The 14219-nt window shown below is 41.9% G+C and overlaps 1 protein-coding gene and 1 long non-coding RNA gene across 39 annotated transcripts in view; one reads left to right on the top strand and one right to left on the bottom strand.

Moving 5' to 3' along the window:
- The window catches only part of RBFOX1 (RNA binding fox-1 homolog 1), a 2473620-nt gene that overhangs the window by 404473 nt on the left and 2054928 nt on the right, over nucleotides 1-14219 (bottom strand). For 7 of the 38 annotated variants that reach the window (NM_001415890.1, NM_001415901.1, NM_001415899.1 and 4 more), the window contains exon 1: nucleotides 4383-4512. The exons of 30 other annotated variants lie outside the window; for them this stretch is intronic. In NM_001415890.1, coding sequence (NP_001402819.1) covers nucleotides 4383-4484 — 102 coding nt within the window. In that variant the 5' untranslated portion in view covers nucleotides 4485-4512. Of the gene's footprint in view, nucleotides 1-4382; nucleotides 5651-14219 lie in introns of those variants that run through there. One more of the 38 variants, XM_005255386.5, reaches the window with a different exon arrangement.
- On the top strand, nucleotides 4188-7311 carry LOC124903640 (uncharacterized). The gene is made up of 2 exons (XR_007064971.1): nucleotides 4188-4387; nucleotides 6243-7311. It is a non-coding gene; the product is annotated as an uncharacterized LOC124903640 (long non-coding RNA).

Here is a 14219-nt window from a genome sequence, read left to right as displayed (position 1 = left end):
TTTCTACACAGTCATAATTGTTATGACCTACCTAATGTTTCCAAAATTTATAACCGTGGCTGGTGCATGGGGCCACCCTCCCCAACGCCTGCAGCCTTCGCGCGAGAGCCCATCTTCCCCAGGTGATTCCCTGAACTGAGAATCGCTTTCTAATTAAAGACAGAAAGGGTTGATATGCAGGTTTCAGTTCAATTGCTTTCGATCTGAAGATGTCCACAGTGAGCAATGGCTTCATTTACTGGGAATTACCCTTTGTACAAACCACTTCACTACTTAAAACAAACCACATGGATCATCATTAAGTGGGAAAAATTACCAATCTTCGAATATTGACAGTGGCATGGCCCACTTTAGAGGCTCTTTTCTGCCCCCTCTAATGTGGATTTTAAGCATTTGACGTATTTTTAAATTTAGGCTGATAAAAAGGTTCTCAGTGGATAGGGCTTGACAGATAAGAAGCTTTCTTAGAATAGTACTGAGAGACGCTGGTGGTGTAAGAACAGAGAAAATTAAGTTAATATGCTACTGATCCTCTTTCAGGACATTAAACTCAGTGGAAAAAAAAAAAAACAGCTCTGGGTGGAATCTGACACGCAGTTTGCATCAGAAAACGAATCTCATCATCCATCCTGTCTGTTGCCTCACCATACCTTACCATGAGATGGGTGCTATAAGGTTTGCCCTCTATTACTTACAATAGAAATAAACCATCTCTAGATTTCTGTGTCCTGTGTGTCCATGCATGTGTGTGTGGCTGTTTTCTATTTCTTCTCTATCAGGAAAACAAAATAGGTTCTCTTTTGACCTAGCTTGCTGCAAACCCCCTAATGTGGAATTGTATTCAGAATTATTCCTCAAAGCAAGAATGGTTCCATGAGTACTTACTTTGGAACGTGGAAGATTAAGTATTGGGGATATGTGAGTTCTAAGTTCAGCTTCAAGAAGATTCACCATCAAAGAAGACACAGCATGAAGCCACTCAGGAAAGGAGATTGAGGCAGGGACTTTCCCTGGACAGCAAGATTGAAGCCAGTTGCTCCAAGGACTACTTGTCCGTTCCATCTGAAAGTGGTTGACAACCACAAAATATATGCTCTATACTAGGTGTGTGTGTATATGTGTCTGTGTGTATGTATACAAATTTGTGTGTTCCTATGTGAGTACATCACTGGGTCTGATATCTAGACGCCAAAAAAACTATTTAGCATTATCCCACCTTGCAGCTCTAAACTGTAGTAACATCTTGGATGTGGAGGAAAAAAGAGGAGAAGGAGAAAAGAAAAGAAATCGTAGCTGTAAGTAAACACTTATCTAGATAAAAGTTATTGGGACATACAAATAAGTGAAACAGGATAAGTCAAATAATGTAAACATCAAAGTTGCTTCTTCATTGGCCTAAGTAAATAAATTATTCGTGGCAAAAGTGATATGTTGCCACTTACACTTGGCCATTCAGAGTAGACTCCGATGCTGAGGCACCCCAATTGATTTTTGTTTTTATGAGTTGTCTTATGGATAAATCTGTGAGAATTTAGGAGGAAAGGTTGGATGTTCATGCTGAGACAAAGAAAGCATTTAATGAAGTCATTTTCCTTAGTTATTGGATAAGAAATAACCATATGAAACTGCATTCCAGAAAAATATACTTCAGGGAAGACTCGATGGCCGGTGGTCAGAGTTTGTGGATTTATAAAACAAAATGATAAATGCTCCAAAATAAGATCAATGTGGGTTGATTACTTTCTTATGTAATTGGTGATCTCAATGACAAAGACTTCTGAATTATGTTTATTTCTAAACAATTATAAAATAAAATTGTTTTCAGTGAAGGTGTTACTTATCATAAATGTTGCCTGATTCGTCCACTTGATCAATTTACTTTGAGATCAAAGATTACCCTTCTGTTCACCAAAATTAGCTAGAGATCCAATAATAGCTACAGATTAAAGGCAGATAAAAAATATAGTAGTGGTGTCTGGGTACAAGATATTACTTATCGATATGATTTATGTATGTGGAGATTAAACTATTTCACACTCTTAATCAGCCGATTGTCTGGAATGCTAAATAAAATAAGTGACTTGAGACTTTTAAACGAACTATCACGACAGTAATGGCCAGGACAGATGACTCCAGGTATATCACTTACACCCTAGCGGTGAGCTTCCAGGAAGGGCTAGAAAACCTAATTCTGAATGAAACAGGCAAAAATAAATGACTGCCTTTATTATACTTCAGGTATTCAGTGAAGCTCAGAGAAAATACACACACACACACACACACACACGCACACCATTCCCACATTATGTCATAGTATCACATTATAAACACTTTCACAGATAGCAGTGCAAGTCCTTTCAGGGGAGGGGGAGATGCATTCCAAAGCACATTTCAAAATCCACCCTCCATCTATCTTCATATGGAACCATGATGCTGATTTAGTCACTTCTAAATATTTGTTGTGGCTGCCAATGTTTTCTTCAAGCCTCCCCTTTCCAGAGCAGGGGTGTTTTTCCTCGTGGGAGAGACTGCCTGGAAGATGCTGAGAACCTTTGTGTTTATCTTATATGTTTGTTCTTCTCATGGCAAGAATAACCTCTCACTCAAAGTCACTATCTTCTCTCCTAAGTTGTGCCCAAATGAGTAAGCCAATTTAAAAATCTAGAAGGCAGAAACATGGATGTATTTTTGAAAAAAACACAAACACCACCACACAAAGGAACGGAGAACATTGAGTACCTATAGCATTCTACTTGCTAGGTAAATGATATTCAAATTGATTAATAAATAACATGAAAGAAGTAAATGTAAAAGGCAAAAGATCAACTCAGTAATAATTTGATAAATCCAACTGAGGCTTAGCATCTATAGAAATGCTCATTAGAATTTTCTTCCGGTGGAAATAACTGGTATAAAACGCACATGCACATACACATTTACACACACACCCACAGCAAAGGCACAGAAATTGTGGAAGATGAAGCATATAATATGTTATCAATACTCTCTTGGGAAATGTCTTCTGGCACGATTTACTCAATAATGAACGTAATAAAATAATATTTAAAAGAACAAATTGGTTCCCAAGATTTTTTTAAGACTGTTCTCAAAAAGACATGCAACAGAAAATACACCTAAGAAATATTTTCTGGAGTCAACCAACTTGATAGAAAATCACCCAAATGTTCAAAACAGAATCCTGACATTTTATAAAAATATACATTCCTTTAACACAGGTTGAAATTGAGGGTCTTGGGGAAGAGGGCCACTCTCAACTCTTGCATAGGAAGTTCTGTTCACACACTCATGTTAACAAATGGTACTCTTGAAGTGAGTCCGTGGAAAAACAGATAAAATGAGTATAATCACTGTAAACCTTCATAGAATAGGATGGAGATCCTGGGAGGGAGAAAGGATTTTCATCTGCATGACAAAACCCCTTCTAGCCCTTCAGTTCACATCCACTGCCCCTGCCCAATGACAGAGAGCTGGCCTGTCACCCTACAAGGGCAGTGCTGAGCTATTTCCCAAGCCCAGGAACCAACTCAGGAAGCAACCCTTCCAATAAAGAAAGAATGACAGAGCAGAGAGGGTCCCAAGGAAACACCCTGAGAAAGACAGAGAGTAAGGTGTCAAAAGACTGAAATGTGCACAATGAATGGAAAATAAAGCAAACACAGACTCCCTCAGCAAGACCACTAAGGAGAAGTGAAAGGGAAAAAAAAACCCACACACGCACACACACACAAACACCCTAACACATGCCAACAAAGACAACATCCTAAACAGCTCACCTTCTTCACAGCATTGCCAGTGAGTTTGAAGGCAGACTGGGGCTGACACACTCCAGAAATTCAAATGCTGCGATCCCATGCGGACCGAATATAGCACCACACAAACTTAGGAAAACACACACACACACACACACACACACACACACACACACACACACCACACCACACACCACACACTTCTCCTTTCCACTCTCTATTAAATCAGCTGAATTAACACTACAGGCACCGGAATGCCTCCACAAAGATTCAAACTCTTAGCATCAAAGGGGTCTTAGACTCAGATCACCACGAAAGGCACTGACACAAGGAAGATGGTAGCAAGGAAAAGGCAGTTTTCCATTTCAAACTTCCGGTGCCCAGGCTGGGCATCAGGCGGTTTTAAAGTATTCGGACAGGTGCAGAAACATCTCAGCGCGAGGTGCCCGGGCTCCACAGAGAGCAGGAGGCTTCCATCCACCCTTTCCATCGCAACGCGGGAGCCCCCTCCTCAGAACCTACATAAGGCACCGAAGCGCAGCCCAGTACGCGCGGGGACCCATCTGGCCCAGCCCCAGGAAAGCAGCCACCGAGGGCAGACGCGCGCCTTACCTGCTGTAAGTACATAAAAGTCAAGGCACACGAAAGCTGGGGACACATGCCCACGTTGGGGAGCGCCACGCAGGTGGCCCCCGTCAGAGGATGCTGCATCATGTCTCTCTGGCGCCCGCCGAGCCCGAGTGGGGACGCTTGAATGCAATCACGTTGCTCTCTGCCTGGGCGCTACAATTTTTTTTTTTCTTTTTTAATTTTGCTGGTTATCTAAGTCAATGACCGGTGGCTCGCGCTGTCTCTCTCTCTCTCTCTCTCTCTCTCTCTCTCTGTCTCTCTCTCTGTCTCTCTCCCCCTCTTTCCTCCTCCCTCCCCCCACCGCACCCCGCCGGTCCCTCCTCCCTGGCTCTCCCCGCCTGGGGATGTGCTAGATCCCGGCGTTCCTCTGCCTCCAACTAAAACACTTGCGGGGACCTGGAAACTAGTTGGTTCCCTTCGCGCGGTCGTCTGGCTTTTCTGGGTTGTTGGGCCTGCTTTTTGATCCCCCGGAAAGTGGAAGGGGCCCCCCACCCCATACCCCTGTGAAGGTGACACGAGAACCGGCAGAGGGAACTTCTCTGGAAGGGGCAGGGGATGCGCTGCCCTCCCGAAGAGGCTGAATGGGAGGGGGGCAAGGATAGCGAGAGGGAGGGAGGGAGGGAGAGGAGGAAGGGGTGGGACGGAGGTAGAGAGGGAGAGAGGAAGAGAGAGGGAGGGGAGAGACAGAGAGAGAGAGAGAGAGAGAGCGAGAGGGAGGGTAAAGAGAGAGAGAGATTGAAAGAGAGGAAGAGAGGTTTTGACTCACACTGAAGCTCACTCCGTTGGTTCTGATGCTGTCTGTCTCCTCATTTGTCAAATGGGTCCAGGGGAAAGATTTTTTTTCCTTTTTTTCCTTCCCTCCCCTTCGCTTTTTTTAAAAATTATTTATTTTTTTTGTTTGTTTCAAAAAAACACTCACCAAAATTTAAATTCGGTCTGCTAAAACCCTCTGCCGGTGAGCAGGCGAGCGAGCGCCCCGCGCGCCCGGCATCAGGCGAGCTGGACAATTAGCGCGATGGCCCAGCTGGGACCCACAGTGGTAGATGTTGGTGGCGGTGCGTTTGCCGGATTCCTTGCCAAATAAACACAGAAAAGGGATTTCCCCTCCTCAGGAGGTGGAGTGCTGAGACGTTAGGGGCTGGGGGCAGGAGGGAGCTTGGGCTGAGGGAGGGGAGGAGGTTTCTGCGCCCCCCAGCAGAGCACCGAAGCGCCGATGCACCCCCGGGCGTTTGGGGCGCAGCTTTCGCTCTGTGCCTCGCCTTGGTTGGGCAGGCAGCCCCGAGCCAGCGAACCAGCCCCTGAGCTGTTCAATGAGAGCAACCGCCCAGGCTGGCGTGGAAATCAAGCCTGTTGGACTAACGTGCCAGCTCGGGGCGACTGGAAGGGGGCTTCTCCCAGCCCAGAACACCCGCTCCTCTCAAATTATAAATGCACAGGGTAGGGAAGTCCGTGTCTGATAAGAGATTACTCCGTCGGCTGCAGGGAGCAAATTACAATGGTTTATTTATTTATTTTTTTTATTCTTGCCTGTCCAGCCCTCCTTGGCCAAATTAACATTCTGCTCTTGCAAACGGGTCTCCCCTCCCCTTTATTTTATGAAGTAATAATTATTCATTAGTAGATTTCATTAGTCTTTATGCAATAAAATAGGATGTGATCTGCAAATCGAAAGAAAATATTAAGACTCTAACTCGTCCTTGGTCCTGACAGGAAAAAAAAAAAAAAGCACATTCTTGCATTCTTGGCAGCAATAAAATCGTGATCAGGAAGAGTAGCCATATTTTTTTAATATAGATTTTGACCCAGTGATTGGATTTTCTTTTTTTTTTTTTTTGTTTTCAGACCAAGAGATCAGCTGTCTAAACAGCAGCTTTTTTGATTGTTGGGCTTCCTGAAAGAAACCTTGCTGACAGCTTCTCACTGACCTGCAGGACGGAACCGTACCTGAGAGGGGATGGGGGCTCTCTCACAAAAGAATATTTGGGGCAGAACCCTGGAACTGGCCACCAGGGACATCCCAAATATCCCCTCCTCCTCAGGGCTCACCCCGACATCCTCAGCCAAATGAAGGCTCTGAACCCAGCCATCAGCTCGCAAGGCACAACTCACTTTGCAGGCTAATCAAAATGCTTTCTGAAGAAAAGAAAACTAATTATCCCACGGCTCTATTTTTTGTTGTCGTTCTGTTTGAAATAACTATGAAGTCTTCACTCTGCCTAACACTAGGCCCCAACCCGCTGTTTCTTTCCACTTTTCATCTTGCAAAACCAGTGCCTCCAACCTCTCTGGGGCTCACACATCCCATCAATTTATCAGGGACACAGTAGCATGTTTAACCCTTTAGCCCTAGGCAGAAGTTCATCCAGGGGAGTGGGAAAGTAGAGGCTGCTATTCTGTACTGCTTTTATTGGGGGGTGCTGGCAGTGGTTAGTTTGAAAAACGTTTGCTGTACGTTGCATCAGAGGTCACATTCATGGGACAAGCTTTGATTAACAAATAATATAAGAATTCCCTCTTTTCTTCTCTTACTTCCTACCTGCCTTTATTTATTTATTTTTGCATTCACAAAACTAAAGAGAAAGTCACTCCACAGAACACGAATGGAATAAAAGGCCAACCATTCTACCTTTCCAATCCTCACTCTCCCTTTCCCATTCTTTACTGTTGCGTCAAGCAATCTGCTGTACGGACGGGTTCGCACTGCTTTCCTTTATTTTTTTTTCTCTTGCTGGCATTAGAAAAGCCTGTAAATAACCCAAGAAGAGGAGAGAATTTTTTCCTTCAGCTCATTTTCATAAGAAACATGATACATAATACATGGCACTTTAATAAGACTTTATCTGAACGGTTTAATGAAAAACAAATACATTATGTAAAGACCCAATAAATGCTCTTGGCTGCACTAAGGCAATACAGATTTTCCAGTCCGTTTTCTCCCCAAAGTTGGAACCCCTCAGTAGTGATTAGATCCCCACAGATCCATCTTGCAATAACGGCTCTGACATTCCCTTAAACTTAAGTTTTCACAGTCAGACACACTGAAGATCTGCAAAGTACAACATGAGAACCAGACCTAAATCCACATCAAAATTATTTGGAGTCGGGCTCTGCTCTCTGGATAACTAAACCTGAACATCTCTCCACCAGTGCATGCAAACACAATCACACACAGGGACAAGTCCCCTTCCCATAAACACTGCAACTATATTAAGGAGCCCAGAGGAACACTTTTCCATTGATAACATCAGTGCTCCTTAATCAGGAATAGGGCATCCAATGACCCCAAATCAAATGGTAGCATCATATCCACAATCATCGCTCACTTGATGACAACACTTTGCCAGCCTTTTAAACCGCATCTGGGGATAGCAAATTTGAATTCCATCTCAAAAGAGACTGAGAAAGAGCCATATCAAGGCCACTAGCTCTGGCATGATTCTCCAACATCAATAAATGGGAGAAGTGGGGAAAGAAAATACTCTTATCTCTCCACAAAAAAAAATTCTAGACATTCAACATCACATGGGTTCATATGCATTCAAGGGCCACCCTGCCTGCATTTCAGCTACAAGGACCCTTAATGGAATGGTTATACATACCCCACAGGAAGCTGAAAAAGTGCAGGAAAATTGGCAATCAATAATGTCATCTTCAAATGAAACTTCCTTAGGCAGAAGGCAACTACCCAAGTTTTAATTTGACTCATAAAATAATATTGTAACTTTTTTTCTTCCAACTTTGCCAGCAATTTAAAAGAAGAATGGAAACCATTTTTTTCTTTTCTCATTTTCATAACTATTTATTATAACTTCCCAAGGCTGTTGAAATAGCAGACATTCCACTAAAAAAAATACTTTCTATAAGAGTTGCCATACCTCAGAGCAAGCAAGACTCCAGTTAGACAGAAAGAAGGACTTGAACTTCAATGTAATCATCTATACTGGGGTTAGCTCAGTGGCAACGTCAAGATGTGACTTAGAAATATTTTACTTTCACTTCCAAATTTAATGTGGACGACAATATAGTCTCCATCTTCATTAAAGTGAGCATGAAAGTATCTTTAGAAAACTTTATTATTTATCTGTATCAAAAGCACTTTGAGTCACTGGCTTGTTCAAACACCTGAATCATATTTAGTTAGTGCTGATCTCATTCCAGGCACTGTTCTAGCCCCCAGGTCGGCATCAGTGGGGCCGGACAAACAAAGGTCCCTGACATTAGACAGTTTACATTCTAGTGGGTGGGGGAGGGGCAGCAGAAAGTAAGTAATACAGAGAAGAAATAAGTACAGTACAATAGATGGTGGTGAGTGCTGTGGGAAGCATAGCAGGCAAGATCAAGATCAGGGAATTAGGGAAACCAGGGTAAGGGAGACGGCAGTGAAATCTACCTAAAAACTACACTTGCTCTGAAAAAATGCAGTTTCAGCTTCAAGAAAGCCCCTCTTGCATCCCGCTCCTTCCAATCTTATTGCATAAGCCTCACATTTGTTTAATACAGATGGTCCCTGACTTGCGATGGGGTCACATCTGGATAAATCCATGGTAAGGTGAAAATATCCTATGTCGAAAACATAATTTCTACTTATGATATTTTCAACTTACAATGGGTTTATTAGGACATAACCCCATTGTAAACTGAGGAGCATGTCTACATGAATTCTGTAGTTCTCTTGGGTCAATCTACTAGGGATAGGGGTGAGAAGTTTGGCACTTCTAATGTATACATTAAGCTGGCCTGTTGGCCTCTAGAATGTCTCAACCCCTGATGGTCCCTCTGAGCTGTATTTTGCAGAAGCTCCATTTCTCAGACACAGTTTCTCTAGGCAAAAGCACGATCACTCCACACTGAGTCAGAGGGTCCAGGATTTTGGCAGTGCTCAAATGAGCACAGCGCTCCTTTTTCAGAGTAAAGGGCTTCGTCCCAGGCAGAACCAATTCCAACCATTCAGCAGCAATTGCTTTGCATGTAATGACAGGATCGAGATTAGAGCCTGATTCTGTGTAAAGGACCCTCAAACTCCTCTAGCTTTCTAGTTTGGGTGTGGGTTGTCAGTGAGTCCAGGACTAAAAATAAACCACGCTTCCAAGAGCAGAAATACAAGCGCAGGCAATACCCAGTTCACAACTCGCTCCCACTACAAATGAGCTTTTCAAAGTTACATTGGTGGTTTAGAACAGTTTACGGCCATCTTTTGCCTAAAAGACTGACATCAGTTAACAAATAAAATCAAATAACGAATAAAATGCCTATCAATAATATATAGATTTGACATCACTGTGGAGAAATGGGTAACCTGAAACACAGATGGTGGGAGTCAAAACTGGTACAGTCCTGGAGATGATATTAATATTTTGGTGCTCACTATCAAAATCTAAAATACGCACATCTTTCAAAGTAACTATTCTAATTCTAGATATCTGTCCTGCTGAAATATTTGAGGTAGATACATGATACATAAACCAGGATATTCACTCCACCATTGCTTGTAAAAGCAAATACAGTTGACTCGTGAACAACACAGATTTGAACTATACAGGACCACATATGCAGAAATTCTCTGCCACCTGAGAGACCCAGAGATAGCAAGACCAACCCCTTGTCTTCCTCGTCCTCCTCCTCCTCCTCAGCCTACCTCATGTAAAATGACAAAGATGAAAACATTTATGATGATTCACTTCTACTTGATCAATAGTAAATATGTTTTCTCTTCGTTATGATTTTCTTAATATTTTCTTTACCCTAGCTTAGTTTATTGTAGGAATACATATATAATGCATGTAACATACAAAATACGTTTTAATCCACTGTTGGCTTTGAGTCGATAGTGGGCTAATCATAGTTTTGGGGGAATCAAAACTTATACACAAATTTTGGGCTGGGCATGTTGGCTCATGCCTGTAATCCCGGCACTTTGGGAGGCCAAGGCGAGTGGATCACTTAAGGACAGGAGTTCAAGATGAGACTGGCCAAGATGGTGAAACCCTCTCTCAACCAAATATACAAAAATTAGCCCTCAGGCATAGTCGCACGCATCTGTAGTCCCAGCTACTTGGGAGGCAGACGCATGAGAATCACTTGAACCCAGGAGGCGGAGGCTGCGGTAGGCTGAGATCATGCTACTGCACTCCAGAGCCTGGGCAAAAGAGTGAGTATATCTCAAAAAAAAAAAAAAAAAAAAACAAAAAAAAACCTATACACAAATTTTCTACATTGTGGTGGGTTGATGCTTCTAACCCCCATGTTGCTGAAGGGTCAACTATAATAAACAGCAATAGGGGAAACAGGGGATAAATAAAACAAGGTACAGGACATGCATGCAATGCACCAGTTAAAAAGAATGCGGGGCATCTGAGTGTCTTTCCTTGGAAAAATCTCTAAGAAAATTCTCTAAGAAGTTTCAGGATATAGATAACAAAATTTCACATGTGAAAAATCAAACCAAAACAAACAGCAAAACTCTACGATTCTTTAAAAACATGTGTGTGGATGCATATAGACATCCACAGAAGTATGTGCATATGCATGTGCGTAAAATAGGCATACATGCAGTCATGTGAAGTGCATACAAAAGGGCCCGGAAACAAATAAATCAATCCAATAAATGCTTTTAGATCTAGGGTAATAGAGGAGGGGCTATTGGGGGGGATTTCAATTTTTACTCTGTACAGATTTATGTCGCTTAGATTTTCACAATAAGAATGTGTCTGTGTATTACTTTTACAATAAAATGAAACAGTTATATTATCATCATTGCTACTACAACTACTACTACAACTGTTGTTATTATAAAGACCCCAGGCTACACGTTCCTAAAGAATAATTTTTTTTAATGGTGGTAACTTTCCCTGGCTAGTACATGAAAACCTGCTTAAAGCCACTACTGAGTTGCAATATTCTAGATAATTAACATCCACAACAAAAAAGGGAATGGACTAAGCTACATAGCACCTTAGCATCCATACAGGATTTCAGTAACCCAGAATCTCTTATCCGTTTACAGCATAACTTCTTAGGGACAATGTCAGAAATCAAAATAAAAATACCCAGATCCTCATCTTACCCCTTCCTCAGGTGCCAAGGCTGCTGAGAAACAGACTGCCAGGTTGGAAACCTGCATATGTTTCTGGAGAAGAGAAGGGATGCAACTGATTTCCAAACCCAGTTATGTCTCATTCTCAATTACCCATCTCACAGGGTGGGGTAGTTTGTCTTTACATCAAGCCTCACATATAAAGCAGGAAGATGTGGAAAATAAGTTTGTCCTTTTTTGTTCCTACAAGCCATGGCCCAAACTGCCTTCCCTCCTCCCTGCAGGCACAATGAAGAGAAAGCTCAGGAGGTACAGACAGTGTCTTCTCCCTTGACCCTTGAGCCTTGTCTCTCCTCCTGTCGTCTCACTGGCTACTGACTATGGCTCCCATGGAGTGCAAGCTTGGAAAACGGGATCTTTCAACCCAGCTCTTCCCCTGACATGAGGTTCTGCTGTAAGCCACTAAGCAGGATGTCTGCATTTACCTTTACACATACCTATACTGCTCACATTTTTGAGGGTAAACAGAAACACAGGACTCAGGGGCAGAGGGAAGGGACACAAAGCTAGGCTCTTAACTCCTGTATTCCTCCAAGTAGAGGAATAGAACTGCTGCAAACTAGCTCCTAGGAAACACCATGAATGTCTAAAGCTATTGTGGATTTCAGTCTGCACCCGAAAGAAAGGCCCAGAGTCCTGGGACTCTGAAAACGGTTGCATGGCCCACATCCATGGCCAGGGACAGGCTAGGGAGCCTATTCATTGCAGCAAAAGCAGCCATATGCCCATCATGCAGGTGTTCTGCATCTACAGAAACACACAAACTGGTTTAAATTCAAGCTCTGCTACTTGCAAGCTATCGTGAACATGAGCATGTGAGCTAACCATTCCGAGCCTTAGTTTTTTTCATCTGTAAAATGGGGCCAATGGTAGCACCCTTACAGAACTATAATGATTCTCAGACTTCTTATCCCCTAGCCCTCAATGACATGGACAGTTCCAAGAAAAGTTTAAAAATGGTAAAGAGACTGCATGAAAATTAACAGCTTTTAAATTTCTTGCCAAGGTAGTACATTCATACATACACACATAAACTCACATACACTGTCTACTGTCATAAGCATTTAATAAAAGAAACAGCATTTTACACGAAAATGCAAAAAAAAAAAAAAAAAGGAGGACATAATCTGAAAATAAAGGACAGTCCTTCAAATTGATTAAATTTAAGTCTATTAAAATTTTCACTAAATTGCCCTTAATTTTCTCATTTAGCTGCAGTCTGTCGAAAATGTCATTACAGAATCCAATGAGTCTGTGGATCGGCATTTGGGAACCACCGAGATAATGAATGTAAAGTGCTTCTCAGCATAGGCACTGGCACAACAAGTATCAACAATACTTGTTAGCTATCACGAGGAGACTAAAAAACAATTAATAGTTACACTCTTTAGGCTTGAATAACTATTCTCTTTACCCCCACAGGTTCACTGCAGCAAACCAAACCAAACACCCTTCTCATTTCTGAGTTTCCTGAACCACAGAGCAGCATGCCTTTCACTTAGGAGAGGCTTAATAAAGGTCAAATGAATTGAATTTGTTGGATCACCAGAGTTTATTCTTGTTCCTCAATGACTCAGCCCTGCTCGTTCAAGGCCACCTGAAATATGGAGTTGCGATGGGGTATTTGGGAACTCTTTCTGGTTCATATGTGGGTATGCCTCAAACACAAACAGCGAGACTGCAAAAGGTGTACTCCCCTGAGTACACCTGTAGTGAGCAGTACACCTTTTGGAGTCTTGCTGCTTGGTCTGAAGATCTATCTCTGGATCATACCTTTGCAGCTGCTATTATATGTCTACTGACATACAAGTTCTTAAAACCTCAGTTTCATTCTAAGGAGAATAATGATACTTTTCCTTCCTAAGTTGTTGAAAGATAAAATCATGTAATATATATAAGTCATAAAAATGGTGCCCATTATCTAGCAACCACTCAATATATAGCAACTATTATTATGAGGTATTTCTATTTTCAGCCCCTGACCAGTTGATGAAACCATCATTCCTCCTTCTTTGCAAAAAAATTACACAAACGAGACCAACAAAGTCAATACATTTATGGAAGGACTAACTTCAGATACAATTTTCTTTTTGTAAAGTTTTTTTAAATGACATGGCACTATACAAAAATGTATAGACATCATACACATCACCTTTCTGCCCTGGTCTTCTGAGTACACAATTTATTTAACCTTGCTAATGAATCAAATGAATGCCAGCTTACACATTAACCCTTGTCAACTAAAATCTTCACCAACTGTATCTCACACAACATCAGGTCAAGTCCTTCACTATTTTGTGAAGACTGACAAGCGTAATACATGTTAGAAAATTACTTCTGGCCAGATGGTAATTAATTTTTTTCTGATCTTCACAAAATCCTGCAAGGTAGATTATTTTTATAGTTCCAATTTACATAAGAAGAAACTGAGGGCACAAGAAGTATCTATCTTATCCTTCTAATAAGAGATGGAAAACAGGGTTTTCTGGTCTGTTGAACAAAATGAGAAAGTATCCTTTTTAACCATGCAATACAAACAGCAGTAGAGATGCTGCTTACAAAATCACCACTGTCATCATCATCATCATCATCATCATCATATTCATCATTTTTTACAATATCTAAACCTCGTAAGCACTTTTGTGAAGAACTACTCTATGCCATTTTATCTTCAAGCTTTCTTTTTCCAGGAATATATCGCTGACCCCAGCCACCTAATTTTATCA

The sequence above is a fragment of the Homo sapiens genome, chromosome 16 (assembly GCF_000001405.40).
Source record: "Homo sapiens chromosome 16, GRCh38.p14 Primary Assembly".
NCBI classification, from domain to species: domain Eukaryota; kingdom Metazoa; phylum Chordata; class Mammalia; order Primates; family Hominidae; genus Homo; species Homo sapiens.
The sequence above is the reverse complement of the archived record's forward strand: the minus strand, read 5'-3'. Positions and strand labels throughout refer to the sequence as shown.